Source organism: Homo sapiens, chromosome 7 (genome assembly GCF_000001405.40).
Source record: "Homo sapiens chromosome 7, GRCh38.p14 Primary Assembly".
Lineage (NCBI taxonomy): Eukaryota > Metazoa > Chordata > Mammalia > Primates > Hominidae > Homo > Homo sapiens.
In genome coordinates, this window is record NC_000007.14 from 122,626,814 (window position 1) to 122,646,096 (window position 19,283).

Here is a 19,283-nt window from a genome sequence, read left to right on the forward strand (position 1 = left end):
AGTAACGTGCCTACTATTATGTTTAGAAAATAGCTATCATGAATTTGGTCACAGGTCTTTCTGGCCCTGTACACATTTTGTTCACTACTTCCTAATTACCTCTTGGCTGAAGTACTAAAGTCAACATGTCTCTTGAAACAGAGATTTTGCCCTGTAGTTTCACTGTTATTATATTGTGTTGTTCTGTGAAGTGTGGGAGGGGGTGTTCCTGAATGCCAACTAATAGCTGTTTATTAACCACTCTTCTGGAATGATCAGATTGCAGAGGCAGCAGGATGTTAAGAGAGCGAGCCCAGGCTCTGGAAGCAAGGCCAGGATTTGAGGCCTGCCTCAGCCACTTATTTGTTATGTAATCATGGTGAAATAAATAATCTTGTCTAAGCCTCAATTTCCTCTTCTATAAAATTGACTTCATGATATCATCTGCCCTTACAAGGTTTGTAGGATTATTGTCAGAAAATAATTCAGCAAGGTCAGTCAATTGTTATTAGGCTTAAAAATATTTCATTAAGACGGCTTCACTTTGGTGAACTTGAAGTGGAAAGCAATTAAACCTGCTCAATCTATGTCAATATTTTCATCAAAAGGTATCCTATTTTTAGAGGTATATTTTGCTTTCCAACCCCATCAGCTTTACTTCTTTCTCCATGTTTTTTCCACTCTATCAACATCTCTGATGAAACCATTAGGGTTCTCTCAAGGAGAAGCCTTTGTGTGTTCATCACTAACCCTTTCTTCTGACTCAGCCCAGGAGTTTATGAACACACCTTCTTCTCAGTCATGAACCTGAGAATACGTCTGAGTCTCTTCTTCCAGTCCCATAACTCTCTAGAAAATCACTTAAACTTTATTCTAAAGCATTACATATGACAATGTGCCCAGTCTCAGGTACAATCTATATACAAGTAGGTAATTTTCAAATGCTGAACACAGATCCACTGTCCCTCCTGCTGCTGTCAGGCACATCTCTCCAGGTTCTTTATTAGCTTTAGGTCTCAGAAAAGCAATTTCTTTTCCAGCCAGGCTCAATACAGGATAGGACTTGGCATTAAAATATTTTTCTTTCTAAAGGTTTCAATAGCCTCAAGTTGCTTGCTTTCTACTCTACAAAATCCACATTCAAATCTCTAGAATGAAATACCACCTTTCTAGAAACCCAGAGGACAAAAATAAGGCATGCTATCCTTTCAATCACTGCCCTCTGTGCAAATGTAACTCTTTGGCCCCTAATTTATAGCACACTGTATCTTCATTCATCTAGAGATTCTTCCTCATGATCTAATTCCTGCTTGGTTCTTACAACTTACTGTCATTCTTGTTACCCAATTATCTACATTTTTCTCTATTTTATTATTTATTTCTAATTTCTCAACTTTCCCTCTACTTTTTAATAAACACTTAAACAGTGTTAGCATTTTAAAAACATTATGTATTAATATTTACAAATACACATTTTCTTTGCAGAAGTAAAAAAATAATTGTTAAAATTAGTATGGGATATAACTTCTTGAATGCTGGAAGAGTTCATTATCTTGATCTGGGAGGTGGCTACACAGGATGTATGCGTAAACATTCATTAAACTGTAAAATGAAGATGTGTGCAGTTTATTGTATACATGTTACGAGAGAGAGAAATAGAGAGGGAGACTATCCATCAAATATTGGAAGTTTTTGCTAAGCAGAAAGGAAAGGGAGAGAATCTTATGTTCAGAGCAATCAACAGCACTATAACTGCAAGTCCATTGAAAAGAACTAAAATTTTCATATCATTGAAGTAAGTTAATAAATTCACTAAAGAATGATTTAGACAATTGGGTTCCATTCTCTCTAAAAACCTTAAGTACTAGAAAAAACTCATGCCTTTTGTCTGAAATTTATCTCTATTCACGATACACAGTGATCACACAAATAAAATAAGTACAATATGATGAATTTCTTGTATCAAGCACACTTCATCTGCCAGATTGCATACTAGATACTTAAAATAATATTTTTTCATGCATTTAGTCATTCAATTAAATGTTAGTCAGAACCACTATGTGCCAATAACTTTACTGTATACTTAGGAATGTATTATATGATTTTGCGGGGAGGAGTTTTTTCTCCCTGGTTATATTTTGCTTAGTAAAACATTAAAACTCTTCTAGATCTGGCAGTTTGAGAAACTCATGCATTGCTTTAAGAGAAGTCTATAAAAGTTATCATTAAAATTAAACAGTTCACATATTAAGGATGAGTACGTAAAATGAATAATATGCTTCATTTAGATAACATGCTTTCAGATATTTGGGATTAAGAGGTCTATGTGTAGAGGAGAAAATGTTAAAATTATGCTGGCTCTTTTTTTTTTAACCTATACAAAACACTTTTTCAGCTCACAGAAATCTAGGTAAAGAAAGGAATGTCATACAGTATGTCCAAGTTAATAATTTACCTTTGCCATTTTATCTGCCAATTGCAGCCGGCCATCAAGTTCCCTTCTGATCTGGGCTGCTTGTTCATCTGCGTTATCCAGCTTAAAAATAAAACAGAAGTTACACATATGTAATTACTTAATCTATATACAGTGACCCACAGACTGAGGCAGTCCCACAGACTAAGGCAAAGATTAAATGACTGAAAAATGTTTAATAGATTGTATCAGATATCTATTACAAAGAGAATACAGGAGGTTGTTCAATTAGATTGGCAGACCAGATAAATTTCTTGGGTACTTTCTCATTGTGGTTTTACTCACAAAACCACCAAATCAAGAAATTAGATTTCTTGATCATTAAGTCAGTCCTAAATAGTTCCAGAAAGATGAAGCTCTTGTTTTGTTCTTTCAAGTTCTCACCATGTATTTCTGGAGGGTGAGATGCTAATGTTTCACTTCTTTCTTTGTACTTTAAAAAAACTCCCTTTGCTTTAATAATAAGTTTGTATTAGTGCTAAACTATAAAAGTACTCTTTGATTGACTGATACAACTTTCTACCACTTAAGTCTTCATATACTCCTCATTCTAATACCAGTAGACTAATACTGCCAAGAAATCCTTCCATTCTTTTAAGGATTGGCACCATATTAGAAATCCATTCTCCTGTTCTAAATTTGACTGAAAACAAGAAAAGTGTGCTCTCATCATTTTTTTTAGAAATCTCCCATTTACATGGAAAATTATTTTCACTTCATGAACTAATCCTTAACTTTTTCTATAACTTATTTTAACTTTACTCATGATACCTTTTCACCCATTCACTCAATATTAGTCCCTTTATAAAAATGTTAAAGTGAGGATGTTAAGTGTTAATTTTCTCTTGACTTTAGTTTTTTCTCCTTTTGCACTCTCATCACGAAGAAGCCTGGACTGCACAATACACTTTAGTAAAGGACCATCTAAAGATTCGATTGAGTATAACATTAAACACCAATGAGAAAACAGTTTACTTGTCACTTTCCCAAAGAACTACAAATTGACCAGGTTACATTTTTAAAAACATCCTCAAAGAGAGTCCTCAAAAAGATGAGTAGAAGCAAACCAGATTAACAGGATAGTGGTGGTAAGGCAATTTATATGAAGAGTCAAAAAAAAAAAAAGAGGAAGATGTTCCTATAAAAGAACACCAAAAGTCTGGAGGTGAGGAGGTAAAACTAGACACACACAGTGGTTCTTTTGGAATGGGATACCAGAAGAGGCAGGGTGAGGGACAGGACTGGAGAGAGAAGCAGGGCAACTTCATAAGTTACTCTTCACAAGCCACATTAGGGAATTTGGAGTTAGTTCCTACAACAATGGGACTTCCTTGAGAGGTTTAAAGTGTAGGAGTGATATGATCAGATGTAAGCTTTGGAAAGGAAAGATCACTCTGTCTCTAGTACAAACAATAGGTCAGAAAGACGGAAGTCTTATTTTGTTTTCTTTAAAGATATACACAAAATGTTAAATTGAGGATATTCATGTTAATTTTCTCTTGGGAGAAAAACTATACAAAAGGCCTGAGATTACCTGTCTAAAATATGTTTCCAAGTTGATTTTTAAAAAACCAAATTCATTTTAAAATAAGTTAAAAAAACAGGCAAGATTTTCTTAAAGTAAATCCTTGTTATATAGGAGTTTCTATGTCATCTCATAAAACTAACAAACAATTTTAATTGATTAATATGATTCAAAATCAAACAGAAACAAGTTTCTCTTCACTGTGTCTAAAATCAAAATGATTAAAATTAAAAACTAACGTAATTATGAAGAAAAATAATATGCAGTAAGTACGGGTTCCAGGTTAACTGAAATCTCTCATTCCAAGCTCCTAAAAACTAAACCATAAGAACACTGAAACTGTAACAATACTTCAAATGCACTAAATGTAATATGAAATATATTATGATCTTTGCTTAAATGCTGATACATATTTCTTCAAAAGACATAAAAAGTTACTTGCATATAAAGAAATTATATTTTTCTCACAGCTTCAACAAAAAATAGCATTTAATATCTTAAAAGGCCACAGTTTTTCAAACTTCACTAGAAACACTAACATATTTTTGTATCTATATCTCCAGATTAACAGCTCTTACTTAAGTGTAAGTGAAATTGTTTGAGTTATTTCTAAATTTTGGTAGTTTTGTTTGTAAGAGACAATTTACAACTACATATTTTTTCTTTTTGTGGAGATGGAGTTCTCGCTATGTTGCCCAGGCTTGTCTTGAACTCCTGGGCTCAAGTGATCTTCCCGCCTCTGCCTTCCTAAGTGCTGGAATTACAGGCATAAGCCACCGCACCTGGTCTGTTTTTTTAAAAAATAATTAATGACTTGATCACATTTGTCTGAAAAAAAAGTAAGCAACAAAACAAAACAAAACCAAAAACAATGTAGAGCACTGGGACACTACATTGTCTTTTCTTTTTTTTTTAATTTCAGATTTGGAGGGGGTACAGTGTAGGATGGTTTCATGGGTATATTACATGTTGTTGAGGTTGAGGTTGGGGATATGGATGGTCCCATCACCCAGGTGGTGAGCATAGTATCCAATAGGTAGTTTTTCAGCCCACATTTCCCTTGGTCAATCATTCCCCAGTGTACTATTCCCATCTTTATATCTATGTATATTCAATGTTTAGCTTTCATTTATAAGTGAGAATGTGTGATATTTGGTTTTATGTTAAGGTGCTAATTTGCTTAGGATAATGGCTTCCAGCTGCATCGACATTGCTGCAAAGAATATGATTTCATTCTTTTTTAGGGTTGTGTAATAATCCATGGTATATATGTGTGTATGTATATATAAAATATTTTCTTTATCCAACCCACCATTAATGGGCACCTATGTTAATACCAGGTCTTTGCTATTGTCATTAGTGTGTCAATGACCATATGGGTGCAAGTGTCCTTTTGATCAAATGAATTATTTTTCTTTGGGTACATACCCAGTAGTAGGATTTCTAGGTGTAACAGTAGTTCTGTTTTAACTTCTTTGAGAAATCTTTAAACTACTTTCTATAGTGGCTAAAGTAATTTGGATTACCACCCACAGAATACAAACATTTGCTTTTCTCTGCAGCCTCACCAACATCTGTTGTTTTTTTGACTTTTTGATAATAGCCATTCTGACTGCTGTGAGATGGTATCTATCTCATTGTGGCTTTGATTTGCATTTCTCTGATGATTAGTGATGTTGAGCATTTGCTCATGTTTTTTGGCCACTTGTACATCTTTTGAGAAGTGTCTGATCATGTCCTTTGCCCATTTTTGAGTTGGATTGATTTTGCTTGATTTAAGTTCCTTGTAGATATCTGTATATTAGATCTTTGTCAGATGCATAGTTTGCAAATATTTTCTCCCATTCTGTAGGCTGTTGGTTGACTCTGTTGGTAATTTCTTTCGCTGTGCAGAATCTCTTTAGATTAATTAGGTCCCACTTGTCAATTTTTGTTTTCACTGTAATTGCTTTTGTGGACTTAGCCATAAGTTATTTGCCAAAGCTAAGGTCGAGAAGGGTATTTCCTAGTATTTCTTTTAGAATTTTTAAACTTTGAAGTCTTACATTTAAGTCGTTAATCCACCCTGAGTTAATTTTCGTATATGATGAAAGGTAGGGGTCTAGTTTCATTCTTCTGCATATGGCTAGCCAGTTATTCCAGCACCATTTATTGAAGAGGGAGTGCTTTCCCCATTGTTTATTTTTGTTGATTTTATCAAAGATCAGATAGTTGTAGGTGTGCAGGTTTACTTCTGAGTTCTCTATGCTGCTCCATTTGTCTATGTGTCTGTGTTTGTACTAGTACGATGCTGTTTTGGTTACTTTAGCCTTATAGTATACTTTGAATTTGGGTAGTGTGATGTTTCTGGCTTTGTTCTTTTTGCTTAGGATAGTTTTGCCTATTTGGGCTTTTAGGTTCCATGTGAATTTTAGAATAGATTTTTCTAATTCTGTGAAAAATCATGTTGCTATTTTGATAGGGATAGCACTGATTCTGTAAATTGCTTTGGGCAGTATGATCCGTTTAATGATACTGATTTTTCCATTCCATGAATATGGAATATTTTTCCATTTATTTATGTCATCTTTGTCATTTTCTAAGCAGTGTTGTGTAGTTCTGCCTGTAGAGATCTTTCACCTCATTGGTTAGATGTATTCCTGGGTTTTTTGTTTGGTGTGTGTATCTATTGTAAATGGGATTGTGTTCTTGATTTGGCTCTCAGCTAGAATTTTACTGATGTATAGAAGTTCTATTGATTTTTGTACTTTGATTTTGTGCTGTGAAACTTTACTGAAGTCATTTATCAGTTCGAGAAGCTTTTTGGCAGAGTCTTTAGGGGTTTTCTACATATAGAATATCATTAACAAAGAAAGCTAATTTGACTTCCTCTTTTCCTACATGGATGCATTTTATTTATTTCTATTGCCTGATTTCTCTGGCTGGGCTTCTAGTACTACGTTGAACAGGAGTGGTGCGAGTGGACATTCTTGTCATGTTCCAGTTCTCAAGGGGAATAGTTCCAGCTCTTCTCCATCCAGTATGATATTGGCTGTGAGTTTGTCATAGATGGCTCTTATTTTTATATGTTTCTTCAATACCTAGCCTGTTGAAGGTTTTTATCATAAAGGAAAATTGGACTTTATTGAAGGCTTTTTCTGCATCTATTGAGATTACATGGTTTTTAATTTTGGTTCTGTTTATGTGGTGAATTATCTTTATTTATTTGCTTATGTTGAGCCAACCTTGCATCCCAGGAATACTGCTTGATTGCTGTGAATTAACTGTTTGCTATGCAGCTGGATTTTGTTTGGTAGTATTGTATTGAGGAGTTTGTGACTATATTCATTAGGGATATTGATTTCTTATTTCATTGTGTCTCTTCCAGATTTTGGTATCAGGATAATGCTGGCTTTGTAGGATGAGTTAGGGAAGATTTTTAAAAATAGTTTCAGGAGGATTGGTACCGGTTCTTCTTTGTACATCTGGTAGAATTCAGCTATAAATGCTGAGCTAAGAAGCTGCTATTTCAGGGCTCTTTTTGGTTAGTAATTTTTAAATTACTGATTCAATTTCAGCATTTGTTACTGGTCTGTTCAGGTTTTCACTTCCTGCCTGGTTCAATCTTGGGAGGTTGTGTGCTCCCAGTAATTTATCCATTTCCTCCAGATTTTCTATGTAGCATATACAGAGGTTTTCAAAATAATCTCTGAGGATCTTTTTTTATATTTCTTTGAGATATTCTGTAAATCCATCTTTGTCATTTCTGGTTACACTTGTACGTATCCTTCTTTGTTAATCTAGCTAGCAGTCTATCAATCCTGTTTATGTTTTCAAAAAGCAACTCTTAGTTTCATTAATTTTTTGTATGAACTTTTACATGTCAATTTCATTCAGTTCTTTGCTGATTTTAGTTATTTCTTCTGCTAGCTTTGGGGTTGGATGTTTTCCTAGTTCCTCTAGGTATATTGTTAGATCGTTAATTTGAGATCTTCCTAACTCCTTGATGAAGGTGTTTAGCACTGTAAACTTTCCTTTTAACACTGCTTTAGCGGCATCCCAAAGATTTTGGTAAGTTCTGTCTCTATTTTCCTTAATTTTAAGGAAGTTTTTGATTTCTGTCTTAATTTCATTGCTCACCCAGGATTTATTCAGGAGAAAATTGTTTAATTTCCATGTTTATATAGGTCTGAGAGATCTTCTTGGTATTGATTTCTACTTTTATTGCCCTGTCGTCCAAAAGGATGCTTGGTAGTATTTCAATATTTTGAATTTATTGAGACTTGTGTTATCACCAAGCATGTGTCAATCTTAGAATATGTTCTGTGTGCAGATGAGAAGAATGTATATTCTGTGATTGTTAGATAGAGTATTCTGTAGATGTCTATTAGGTCCAATTGGTTAAGTGTTGAGTTTAATTCTGGAATTTGATAGTTTTCTGCCTGGATGATCTAATGCTGTCAGTGGGGTGCTGAAGTCTCTGACTATTAATGTGTGGCTAATTTTTTTTTTTAATTATTATTATTATACTTTAAGTTTTAGGGTACATGTGCACAATGTGCAGGTTAGTTACTATGTATACATGTGCCATGCTGGTGTGCTGCACCCATTAACTCGTCATTTAGCATTAGGTATATCTCCTAAAGCTATCCCTCCCCCCTCCCCAGACCCCACAACAGTCCCCAGAGTGTGATGTTCCCCTTCCTGTGTCCACGTGTTCTCATTGTTCAATTCCCACCTATGAGTGAGAATATGTGGTGTTTGGTTTTTTGTTCTTGCGATAGTTTACTGAGAATGATGATTTCCATTTTCATCTATGTCCTTACAAAGGACATGAACTCATCATTTTTTATGGCTGCATAGTATTCCATGGTGTATATGTGCCACATTTTCTTAATCCAGTCTATCATTGTTGGGCATTTGGATTGGTTCCAAGTCTTTGCTACTGTGAATAGTGGTGTGGCTAAATTTTTTCACAGGTCAAGAAGAACCCATTTTATGAATCTTTGTGCTCCAGTGTTGGATGTGTATATATTTAGGATAGTTAAGTCTTCCTGTTGAATTGAACCACTTTTCATTATGTAATGCCCTTCTTTGTCCTTCCTGATTGTTATTGGTTTCAAATCTATTCTATCTGATATGAGAATAGCAGCTCCCACATTTTTTTTTGTTTTCCATTTGCATGATAGATCTTTCTCTACCTCTTTGAGCCTGTGGTGTCATTACACGTGAGATGCCTCTCTTGAAGACAACAGACAGTTGGTTCTTGTCTTTTTTATCTAGCCTGCCACTCTATGCCATTTAAGTGGGGTTTTGAGACCATTTACATTCATGGATAGTATTGATATGTGAGATTTTGATCCTGTTATTTCGTTAGCTGGTTGTTTTTGTAGACTTGACTGTGTAAATGTCTTATGTTGTCTGTGGGCTGTGTGCCTAAGTATGTTTTTGTGGTAGCAGGTTTTGGTGTTTCATCTCCATGTTTAGCACTCTTTTAAGGACCTCTTGTAAGGGTAGTCTAGTGTTAATGAATTCCTTTAGTACTTGCTTATCTGAGAAGTATTTTATTTCTCCTTCACTTAGGAAGCTTAGTTTGGCAGGATATGAATTTCATGGTTGGAATTTCTTTTCTTTAAAAAAGCTGAAAACAGGCCCCCATCCTCTTCCGGCTCGTAAGGTTTCCACAAGAGATGTTTTTTTTTTTTTTTTTTTTTGAGATGGAGTCTCACTCTGTTGCCCAGGCTGGAGTGCAATGGTGCAATCTTGGCTCACTGCAATCTCCGCGTCCCAGGTTCAAGCAATTCTCCTGCCTCAGCTTCCCAAGTAGCTGGGATTACAGGTGCACATCACCATGCCAAGCTAATTTTTGTATTTTTAGTAAAGACAAGGTTTCACCATGTTGACCAGACTGGTCTCGAACTCCTGACCTGATGTGATCCGCCTGCCTCGGTATCCCAAAGTGCATGGGATTACAGGTGTAAGCCACCAAACTCGGTCTGCCTTTTTAAGATTTTTTTGTTGTTGTTGAACTTGGTGAATCTGATGGCTATGTGCCTTGGGGTTGGTCATCTTGTATACTATCTTGCCAGAATTCTCTGTATTTCTTAAATTTGTACGTCCAACTCTCTAGTGAGATTGGTGAAATTTTCATGGACTATATCCTCTAATGTTTTCCAAGTTGCTTACTCTCTTTCCTCTGTCAGGAATGCCAATGAGTTGTAGATTTGGTGTCTTCATATAAACTCATATTTCTCAAGGGTTTTATTTTTTTAAATTGTTTATTTATTTTTTTCTTTTTGTCTGACAAAGCTGACTTGAAGAACTTGTCTTTAAGCTCTGAAATTCCTTCCTCAGTTTGGACTATTCTGCTGTAATGCTTCTGACTGCATTATGAAATTTTGCTTTTTTTTTTTTTTTTTTTTTTTTTTTTTTTTTTTTTCCTGAGACAGGGTCTCACTCTGTGGCCCAGGCTAGAGAGCAGTGGCATGATCACAGCTCACTGCAGCCTCGACCTCCCTGACTCAAGTGATCCTCTTACCTCAGCCTCCCAAGTAGTTGGGACTACAAATGTGCACCACCATACCTGGCTAATTTCTTGTAGAGAACAGGAGGCTGACCTCAAACTCATGGGCTTAAGTGATCCTCTTGCCTTGGCCTCCCAAAGTGCTGGGATTACAAGCATGAGCCACTGTGCCTGGACTATTATGAAATTCTTGAAGTAAATTCTTCAATTCCAGAAGTTCAGTTGATTTCTTCTTTAAAATAGCTATTTTGTCTTTTAGCTCTTGGGCTGTTTTACGGAATTCCTTGAATACCTTGGATTGGGTTTCAACTTTTTCCTGGATCTTGATGAGCTTTGTTGCTACCCAGATTCTGAATTCTCTGTCTGTCCAGTAGTCATTACAATCTGGTTAAGAACTACTGCTGATGGGTTAATGTGTTTGTTTCGGCATAAAGAGACACTCTGCCTTTTTGAATTGCCAGCGTTTCTTGCACTGATTCTTTTTCATGTGTGAGGGCTGATGTTCCTTTAACTGTGACATAAGTTGAGTATAGTCAGTTGGCTCCATTTCTGGGTGCTTGCAGAGAGCCAAGGCTCTGTACATAATCTTTATTTATGTCTGGATTTTTGCCTTAGGTTTCACAGGTGCTGTATGCTGGCATAATGTTTTTGATGTTTCATTTGGGCTGTAATCCAGTAGGTGCTCCTTAAGAGTGGTGGCTGGCAGATAGCCTCTAACTCAGCCATGTAGCTCTGTTGTATTTTGGCATACGCACAGTAGTACTCTGTGGTCAGGGGAGAGAGAGCTGACAACCTCACCAGGTTTGCTCCTAGGCCTTGGAGGAGCCCCTTCTGATCACTGGCACCACGTCCACATTTTCTTTCTTAGGTGTTCTGGGCTATAGAGCTCCCTAAGGCAGAGACTGTGGCTGGTAGACAAGACTATACCCTTTCTGGAAAGCCCTTCAGAGGGAGACATGCCCTGCTCCCCCAACATCCTGAGAGCCCAGGGATCTCACCCTTTTCAGTATTCTGAGAGGGAGGGCGTCCTCCCCACCCCCTGCTTGGGGCTCTGCCCAAGTTAGGAGCAGGGTGAAGTTGAATCCTGCCCAGTTAGGAGCAGGATGAGTGGAGTCACCCAATTCACCATCGAAGTGCTTCCTGGGGGAACACAAAGCTCTCCTAAACCACAGGGGTTTAGCAGGTTTTCTGTCAAGAGGGAGTAGAGCAATCTGTCCATCTCCAGCACCATGACTGCAGCTTCTGTCAGGGCCATGGCACCTCAACCAGGCTGTTCCAGAGTCCAGGGCCTGGGGGGGTCCCCACGGACTTGAGTGTTGCCTCTGCAAAAACTCTGGGTAGCTCTCTGTATCAGTCTAGAGGCCCAAGGGAGTCATGGGGTTTTTCACATTCTCAGGATTGCACAGGTCACTGTGGGAAGTATGGATCCCCTGAGGACTCTTACTCACTAATTCTATCCCTGTGTTGAGGAGCTTCTCCTGTCTTCATGCTGGTCCCAGGCAGGCAGCTGCCCAGCTTCGATTTTCTCTGTTCTCCATGTCCCATTACTCCCTTGATGCATCCTGAATCCTGACGTGGTTTCTTAGATGATCCACTTAGAGAGTCCATGTTTACTCGTCACTATTTCCTCTCCACGAGAGCAGTACACACTAGCTCCTCTAGTCTGCCACCTTGAACCCTAAGTCCTACATGTCTTTTAGTAGCCTTCTCTTCATAAAGCGAAATTTTCAGAGGCCAAAGGGTACTAACTTCTGTGGCCACTGGTGTCATTTTGTGAAACTGGAAAAGCATACTTCCAAGCAACATGTTTACCAAAAAAGGAAAAAGCTAATGAAGGCAATGGATAAAAATTCAACCAGTAATCCTCATTTTATGTAATGTTAGAATTGAAGGGGATAAATTAGTTGGTTAACGTTCTTTTTTACATGTAAGAATCTTAGTTTAATGTTGCATGTTTTGAGTTTTGAGTTTTTTAAATTTATTTTCGACATAATTTATTTAATTGGAAGTTTATATAATTCTTATGAGCATTTTCCTAAAGGCAGAATTCAACTGAGACAATTTTGATTCACAAATAATTATAAAAAGTAGAAAAACATCCATTATATGCTCTTCCCAGTTTTCCCTAATGATAGCACCTTATAAAACTATAGTATTCTATCACAACCAGGATCCTGACTTTGGCTACGTAATCACCCATCTAATTCACATTTCCTCAGTTTTATGTGTGCTCCTTTGTGTGTGTGTTTAGCTCTCCACAATTTATTACTTACATAGGTCCATGAATAACCACCATAAAGACACTCCATAGCTCTAACATCACAATGAACCCTCATGATGCCCTTTTATACCCACATCCACCTCCCTCTAGCCAGTCCCCAGTTGGTTAGTTTTAATAATGATGTGCCCCATTTTACAAAATACTTCAAAATAAATTATACTAAGCCAAATATGATTTTCTTTTAATTGTCATTAGGAAACTGGAGATGTGGTCCCTTGAGCGCTCATAAACATTGGAGATTTTAGGTCTGCAGCCTCTGACCTCTTCTCAATCTAAATATTCACTGCCTGGATGCTCTCCTCAAAGCCTATGATCATAAGCAGCATCTAGTCTCTGATCTTCCAAGTGTGTATCTATAGCACGAAACTCTTGCAGGAGTTCCAGACTTAAATTTCCCATTGCCTACTCGAGTTTCAGCTTATGTGAAGACAAGGCACATTGAAATTAACAAGCCCAGAATAGAATCTCAATTTTCAGCTCCGTACCCCGATCATTCATGAGTAATGCCGTGTGATAAATGGCATGCCTCTCTACCAGTTGCTCAGGCCCAAAACCTACATGTCATCTTCGACTTCTCTCTCCCTCACAGTCCACATCCAATCCACCTAGAGTCATGTAGAGCGAAACCTAGAACCACATAGTTGAGACCTAGGCAGACCAGTATGCAGGGATTTTCAGGTATTATGAGTCTGTGGCCAGGTCTTTCTCTCCCTTTCCCTCTTCTGCACCCCCTCTCTTTCTTTGGGTGTGTGTGTACATTACAGTGTTTCTCTAGCCACTTCAAAGCACTATTTCAATTTGCCAGTATGGTTGGAAACTCTGTCACAGTGAAAATAATTATCTTTCTTTACTGAACCATCAGAACTTAAATAAGTGGTTGTGTGTGCACACACATATACACACACACACACACACACAGAGATAGAGAGAGAGAGAGAGAAAAAAAAAGAAGGGAAGGGGAGAAGAAATAAATAAAAGCCTGAATGGACAAAATTTAGGTCTAGGGCATTACAATTTAAAATGTTTCCATGCTGTTCCCTAAAAAATAAAAAATAAAAATAAAAAAAAATATTGTTGGCTGGGCGCGGTGGCTCACGCCTCTAATCCCAGCACTTTGGGAGGCCGAGGCAGGCGGATCACAAGGTCAGGAGATCAAGACCATCCTGGCTAACATGGTGAAACCACGTCTCTACTAAAAAAAATACAAAAAATTAGCCGGACTTGGCGGCGGGCGCCTGTAGTCCCAGCTACTCTGGAGGCTGAGGCAGAAGAATGGCGTGAACCCGGGAGGTGGAGTTTGCAGTGAGCCGAGATCACGCCACTGCACTCCAGCCTGGGTGACATAGCAAGACTCTATCTCAAAAAAAAAAAAAAAAAATTGTTGACCCACTAGATCCTAGTGCCGGATTTAGGCTATGAGATACATAAAATAAGAATATGTGAACTCTGGGGATTGTAATAGAGATCAGAGGTAAGGCTTCACTCTACCAAGGCAATTTCACCTTTTAATGTCATTTTTTTTTTACTTTTAACTTCTGATTTCAACATTTTATTTAACAATAGATTACTTTGCTCACAGATGTCCTTTCCTGGCAGATAACATTTTACAGGTCTTTTTAAAAGGGCCGTTAATCCTTGATCATAACAGATACCTAATGTGTATCTTTATTATCTGCAATGCTTCTAGTTTCTATTATACAGATAATTTTGTCACTTCAATTATCAAAATACTTGACAAATATTTAGTTCAGAAAATATGCTTTTATTTTCCTCCTGTTCATTACACAGGGATTACTGTTTCCACATTCAGAATTCTCTCGGTTAGGGAATTCTTGAATTGGACCTTTGGAAGTCTGTAAAACTTTTGAAGTTGTGAGCAAAATTTTGTAGAGATGCATATTTTTTTCCCTTGGGGAATTATTTGAATTTCATAGCTTACTTGAGGTTCTCAAAAGGGTGATTAATTGAAAAGAGATAAAGAACCATGAATCTTCTGTATGAAAGCCTCTATTATTTCATTCTAGGAAAGGCCATATGACTTTTGATACATCAACCAGGGAAAACAGTCACCTCAGTCCTACACATCTTCAGACTTACACTTACAGAGATTTTCTAAATTCTTTGTAAAGGAACACTAAAACACAGGGTCTTAATAATGTTAACCTGAATGGTCCATGATTTTATTAATTCCATATACATGTTTTCTATACCTACAGTACAGCATACCCTGTTGCAGGATTTTCAGTAACTACAAAAGTTGTGGCTCTCCAGGAGTTCATATGTTACGTTAAAAAAAAAAAAAGTAAAAATAGTAAGTAAAACAGATATCATTATGGGTACTCAATTAGGAGAAAAATGTTTTTCTGGAATGATAGCATCAGGATGGATTTGCAAAGATAGAAATATTAAAAATGGAGAAATTGAGGCCGGCCGTGGTGGCTCAAACCTGTAATCCCAGCACTTTGGGAAGCTGAGGCAGGTGGATCACTTGAGGTCAGGAGTTCGAGACCAGCCTGGCCAACATGGTGAAACCTCATCTCTAGTAAAAATACAAAAATTAGCCAGGCATGGTGGTAGGCGCCTGTAATCCCAGCTACTCCAGAGACTGAGGCAGGAGAATCACTTGAACCCAGGAGGCAGAGGTTGCAGTGAGCCTTCATCGCATTACTGCACTCCAGCCTGGAAGGCACAGTGAGACTCCATCTCAAAAAAAAAAAAAAAAGGAGAAATTAATGACCTAATGTAACAGTCTATTAGTCTTGCCTTACAAATATCAAACCCTAGGCTCTCCTTGCCCAGTCACTCTCCTGTTGCATGGGAGCAGCTCTGGGAAATAGGAAGGTCTTCGAGATCAGCAAATCTCCCTTTGCAGAAGTCCTAGGGAGAACTGGAAGCCTGTGCTGGCAGCCAACTATCCTACAATTAAGAAAATGTTAAACGTAGCATAAAATAACTACTAAGTTTCACCCAACAGCTTTTTTTTTTTTTTTTTACAACTTATTATATTGCTCTTCTAGTACTTTAAAAACTATGAACATCAAAAACTTGAATTCATTAAATTTACTTATATCTTAAAGAAAAAAGATCTTTTAAAAATGCTTTTCACAGTACTGTTTAGCATCATTGCCCTCTCTAATATATCTGTTCTCTAGAACCAAGATAAATGTCCTTATGTTAACATTGTCAATCACTAAAAAGGGGGATTAATAACTGTTTTTCCATAATCATGTCTTTGTATATGTTAATCCTAGTTAACTGCACTCTTCCTTCTCCTACTGAAAAAAAATCAATTAGTTCTTTCACTTAGTCCCCACACCAATTATGTCATACTCTTTTTGAGTGAATTGCACTCTTTTGTTTTCTTATAATATTTATCTTTATCCTTTATTGTGAAAATATAAGTAGATTAGGGTTTATGATGTTATGCAAATTTGGTGTCTTCCCTGAGATTAATTCCTAGCTGGTTCACTGTATTTATATTATCTGTAAATCTAGTGATTTGTAGATAATACATTACAATAAATAATCAGCACAAACCTAATGCTGATTCCAAAAGAATACTCTTCCTAACACTTTCTTGCTTACCATATCTAGCAGCCCAGTGTTTCATTTGGAAATGCCAAATATGCATAGATTTTGCAACACGGCCTCAAAACAATGGTCAAAAGTTTTATTAAGTATTAGCAAATTAATGTACCTTATCAATAAGTGTCAATCCTCCACCATCACTTGAATCAAAAATTATTTACAATAAAGATAGAGCATAGCTCTACCCAACTGACTGTGATCATTTCTGCTGTTTTCTTTGCTGGCTCCCTACTCTCTCAGCCCACAAACACATGAGCTCTGTCCTCAGCTGTTCTAGGCTTCAGAGTGTCTGCAGTAATTTCTCAATGCAATGTCATACATCAGAACACAGCTGGGCCTCTCGCTTTGAGTTTCAGCTTTGCACTTCCAACTGAAGGCCAGGTCTTTGCTTTCAAGCATCTCACAATGACCTCAAACTAAAACTGAACTGATTTTATCACCCATTCCTCAATATGGTTCCCCTATTTCTGCATATGATTCTCATTACCCTTGATTAGGTGAAAATTTCTGAGGGGGCAGAGGGAAGAGAAAGGAGGGAGAAGGAGAGGGAGAAAAAGGAGGGGAAGAGGGAGAGGGATGAGGAAGGAGGGAAGGGGAGATGAAAAGAGTGAGGGGAGGAAGCAAGTGAAGAAGAATATAAAACCATGGACTTGGCACGGTAGCTTATGCCTATAATCCCAGCATTTTAGGAGGCCGAGGTGGGTAGATTGCTTGAGGCCAGGAGTTGGAGACCAGCTTGGGCAACATGGCAAAACCCCTCTCTACTAAAAATGAAAAATTAACCAGGTGTGGTAGCTCATGCCTGTAATCCCATGTACTCCAGAGGCTGAGGCATGAGGCGGAGATTGCAGTGAGCCAAGATGGCGCCACTGCACTCCAGCCTGGGCAACAGAGGTAGACTCTGTCTCGAAAGAAAAGAAAGGAAGGAAGGAATGAAGGAAGGAAGGAAGGAAGGAACAAACGAAGGAAAAGAATATAAGACTATGAATAAGAGAGAATGACCACCAAACATCAAACACTTCAAACACTTTAGCCTAACATTCGGGACTTCCCACATTCTATAGCAATCTACCTTTCTAGCCTCTTGGATAATTGCATTATCTACACATACAGATTTATCCATTATTTACCAAACATGTTACATTTTCTGAATCATGTATTTCTCTTGCCTGGGATCCTTTTTTTCACTACCTTCATTGTCCAGGTCAATCTCCAAATCTTCTTGGAAGATGACAAACCAATTACTTAACAACAAAGCAGGTACTATCTGATGACACAGCCTTCATAGTTGTCTTACTGTGCAACTTTTCAGGTATTTATGAGCTTTATATATTTCACCTTACCCTAATGATAGAAATAACACAAATTCACTTCTAATGGTGAACGACTTGCGTTAATTTTATTCCAAAACAGAGTAATTCCACCTGTATTTGAAAGGTTCTTGGACTCCAATATCCCCTCTGTGTTGACCCATTTTCCAAGAGGCAGCCCCCTCAAAAACAAAAATAAAAACTGGTCCTTTTTCTTAATCATTGAGAATTAGCTAACAACTATAAGGTAACTAATGTTCTTTTTGTAATTTCATACAACAAAAAGAACATAAGGAAATGAAGTCATTCCCAAACTCTCAAGAGCAACACATTCCCTGTGTGAAGTTATGTATGAAAGAATCAGGTACCATTCTGTCTGCCAGATACAAAGCTTTTAAAGAACTCTCTTATAGCTACCTTCTAAATTATGCATTAAAAAATCTGACTCACAAATAGCAGTTTTTCATGGATTCTTGTAGAACAGTTATAAGGGTCTTAAAAATGCATTTCCCAAATCACATTTTCCTTTGAAAACTTAGAACAGGGAAAAGATGAATGAGTTAATTAGATATAAAATTACCCTATGTGAACTGAACTAAACTATATTAAATAATGGATCAAAATGTTCAAAGGCAAGAACATAAGAAGTTTAACCTCATACATAAAAACCGTGGGACTTCTATAACCTAGAGAATATGCATATATATTAAGTATATATATACACATATATGTATATACATAAGTATATATATACGCTAAGTATATATATACACACATGTACATGTGTGTATACATGTACATATATACACACATATGTACATATATACACATATGTACATGTGTGTATACATGTACATATATACACACATGTACATGTGTGTGTATACATGTACATGTATACACACATATGTACATGTGTGTGTATATATGTACATATACACACATGTATATGTGTGTATATATGTATATATACACACACATATGTATATATGTGTATATATGTATATATATTTAGCGTATATATATATAAGTATATATATACTTATATATATATAAGTATATATATATACTTATATATATACTTAGAGAATATATATGCATATTCTCTAGGCTATAGAGATTATATATATATATACACACACACTAAGATACATATATCTCTACTCTAAGATACATATATCTCTAAGATATATATATATATATATATATATCTTGGGATTTTGCTCTTAGTTAGATCCACTGGAAAAAAACTGCGGTAATAAAGAACAAGTTCACTGTGCTTACTGTGAATATCACTGCCCCCTGCTATATATATGAGATATATATAAACATGAAGATATATATATGTATATATATAAAACAACAGCAATAATGTGGCAAATTTTTGCATGTAATGAAATATTCTTTAGTATTTCATTTGGTATTAACATTTCATCTTCTGGAAAAAAGGAATGAGCTATTATTTTAAAATAATTATTTACTAACTATACTTATCTCAATAAAATAGTTGAATCTGTATTCACATTAATAGTGAATAATGCTGAGATTAAAGGAGTTTATCATTAAGTAAAGTAACAAAGACACTATCACTTTTCCAAAACTTTCCCAGAGCAGATTTGAACTCG

General features: G+C 36.6%; 1 protein-coding gene across 28 annotated transcripts in view; it reads right to left on the reverse strand.

The window, feature by feature from the left end:
* The window catches only part of CADPS2 (calcium dependent secretion activator 2), a 568,050-nt gene that overhangs the window by 308,403 nt on the left and 240,364 nt on the right, over positions 1-19,283 (reverse strand). For all 28 annotated transcript variants that reach the window (NM_001363398.2, NM_001009571.4, XM_047421032.1 and 25 more), the window contains one exon: positions 2,435-2,515. In NM_001363398.2, the coding sequence (NP_001350327.1) occupies positions 2,435-2,515 (81 nt within the window). The remainder of the gene's footprint in view (positions 1-2,434; positions 2,516-19,283) is intronic.